The following is a 1,750-nucleotide window of genomic DNA, read 5'->3' as shown; positions in this document are numbered from 1 at the left end:
CCTGTGATCCCAGCACTTTGGGAGGACAAGGAGGGCAGATCATGAGAACAAGTAGTCGAGACCAGCCTGGCCAACATGGTGAAACTCTGTCTCTACTAAAAATGCAAAAATTAGCTGGGCACGGTGGTGCATGCCTGTAGTCCCAACACTCGGAAGGCTAAGGCAGAAGAATTGCTTGAACCTGGGAGGCAGAGGTTGCAGTGAGAGGAGATAGCACCACTGCATTCCAGCCTGGCGACAGACTGATACTCCGTCTCAAAAGCCAAAAAAACAAAAAAAAAAAAAACAAAAAAAAAAATTGAGACATTTTCTTCTTAGATTGCCAGGGTCAAATTGATTCCAGTGGTTGAGGATGCAGCAAAGTGGGGAATCAGGTAGAATGAATAGAGAGTTGCCTATAGTCATCTGGAAAAGAAAAGAGGACTTTGAAAAGACAAGGGCTTATTTAGTGACCCAAATTTTACCTGGGGCATCCTGCTGGAAAAATTGGGTCATGTCTGGAGTCCCCAGGGGCATCCTCCTTTAGGGCCCTTTTTTAGTTTGTCAGGCATCTCTTACCTTAGATGGTGGCCAGTGCCACTTTAGAATGGTTCCCTCCACAATTGATGGCCCAGCATGAGTTTCCCTATTGTCTCTGGATGAAGGCCCCAACTCTTGGCATCCTTGAAATGTGATAAGGCTATGCTTTCCCATGCTTCCCATTCTATTAGGGTGATAGCCATAAATTTTAAATGACAGAGACTGAACACTGGGCAGGCTTCTTTTGTAATGGGGATCAAGTGTAATTGCTCAAGAGAGGTAGGATGGATTTTGGGCATGAAAAATGAAATAATGGGGTTGGTTATTCCACTCAAGCCCTTGACAAGGGAGGGAATGGTTAAAAATCCACCACTATGACAGTGGTTCCTGTGTATAGGCAGGCCATTCTATAGAAATAATATGGTAACTACAAAAGAAACAGGCTTTTTTCAGTAGAGGTCCAAGAGGTAGGATGTATTCTAAAGCTTGTGGGCCCCAAAGGTCCTCAGCCAGATTGAGTAGGAGAAGGGAGGTCAAAACACTTAAGAGACATTATCTTCTGGCATCATGGGCACACTTGGGCTCCACAGGAGAATTTTAGCATAAGAAAGAGAGGGTTGAAATCACCTGAAAGGTATGTGAATTTACCTTGGATGAACTGCTGCTCCCAACTGTGTCACACATAGTGATAAGGGACTATAACCAGAAAGGATAGAAAAGAGTCCTTCTCTTTTTTGGGCAGGGCAGCTATCCTTGTTCATTCCTTGGCCTTCAGGTAAAATCAGAGAGTGGCCACAGGACTGAAAAAAAAAAAAAAAAAAAAGGAAAAGGAGACTGAAAAAAGAAAAAAAAGGAAAAGACAAAGTTCCTTGGTGGAACCAGGCAGGGCAGTGGTGGTCAGGCGCTTCTCACTGGAGAGTGGCCCCAGCCAGAGACCTGCAGTTGTCTCCATGCTTAGATGCTGTCCACCAAGAGTCCCAAGTTAGGAAAGGAAAAGGGAGAGAGAGAAAGGGTTTCCCTTTTATGGAGTGGAGGGAGCCTGCATAGGGATGAGTCCATCCCATACCCACAAATGAAGGCTTGACAAAAAGGAAAAGAAAAAGAAAGAAACAAAGAAAGAAAATAAATCCCCAAATTTAGGCTTACCTCCTGACTGGCATGCCAAAATATGTTACCAGAAGGAAGATCTTGAGTGAGAGTTGTACAGGTTCTTGGCATGTTGTACAAAAAA

At 44.2% G+C, this 1,750-nt stretch overlaps 1 annotated feature.

Moving 5' to 3' along the window:
* Nucleotides 402-1,198: an enhancer, noted in NCBI's record as "OCT4-NANOG-H3K27ac hESC enhancer chr8:83976499-83977295 (GRCh37/hg19 assembly coordinates)". NCBI's record gives its function as "activates a minimal SCP1, AML or CMV promoter by ChIP-STARR-seq in naive H9 embryonic stem cells {active_cell/tissue: H9 hESC(naive)}" and the evidence as "EXISTENCE:reporter gene assay evidence [ECO:0000049][PMID:30033119]".

This window comes from Homo sapiens, chromosome 8, assembly GCF_000001405.40.
Source record: "Homo sapiens chromosome 8, GRCh38.p14 Primary Assembly".
NCBI classification, from domain to species: Eukaryota; Metazoa; Chordata; class Mammalia; order Primates; family Hominidae; genus Homo; species Homo sapiens.
The sequence above is the reverse complement of the archived record's forward strand: the minus strand, read 5'-3'. Positions and strand labels throughout refer to the sequence as shown.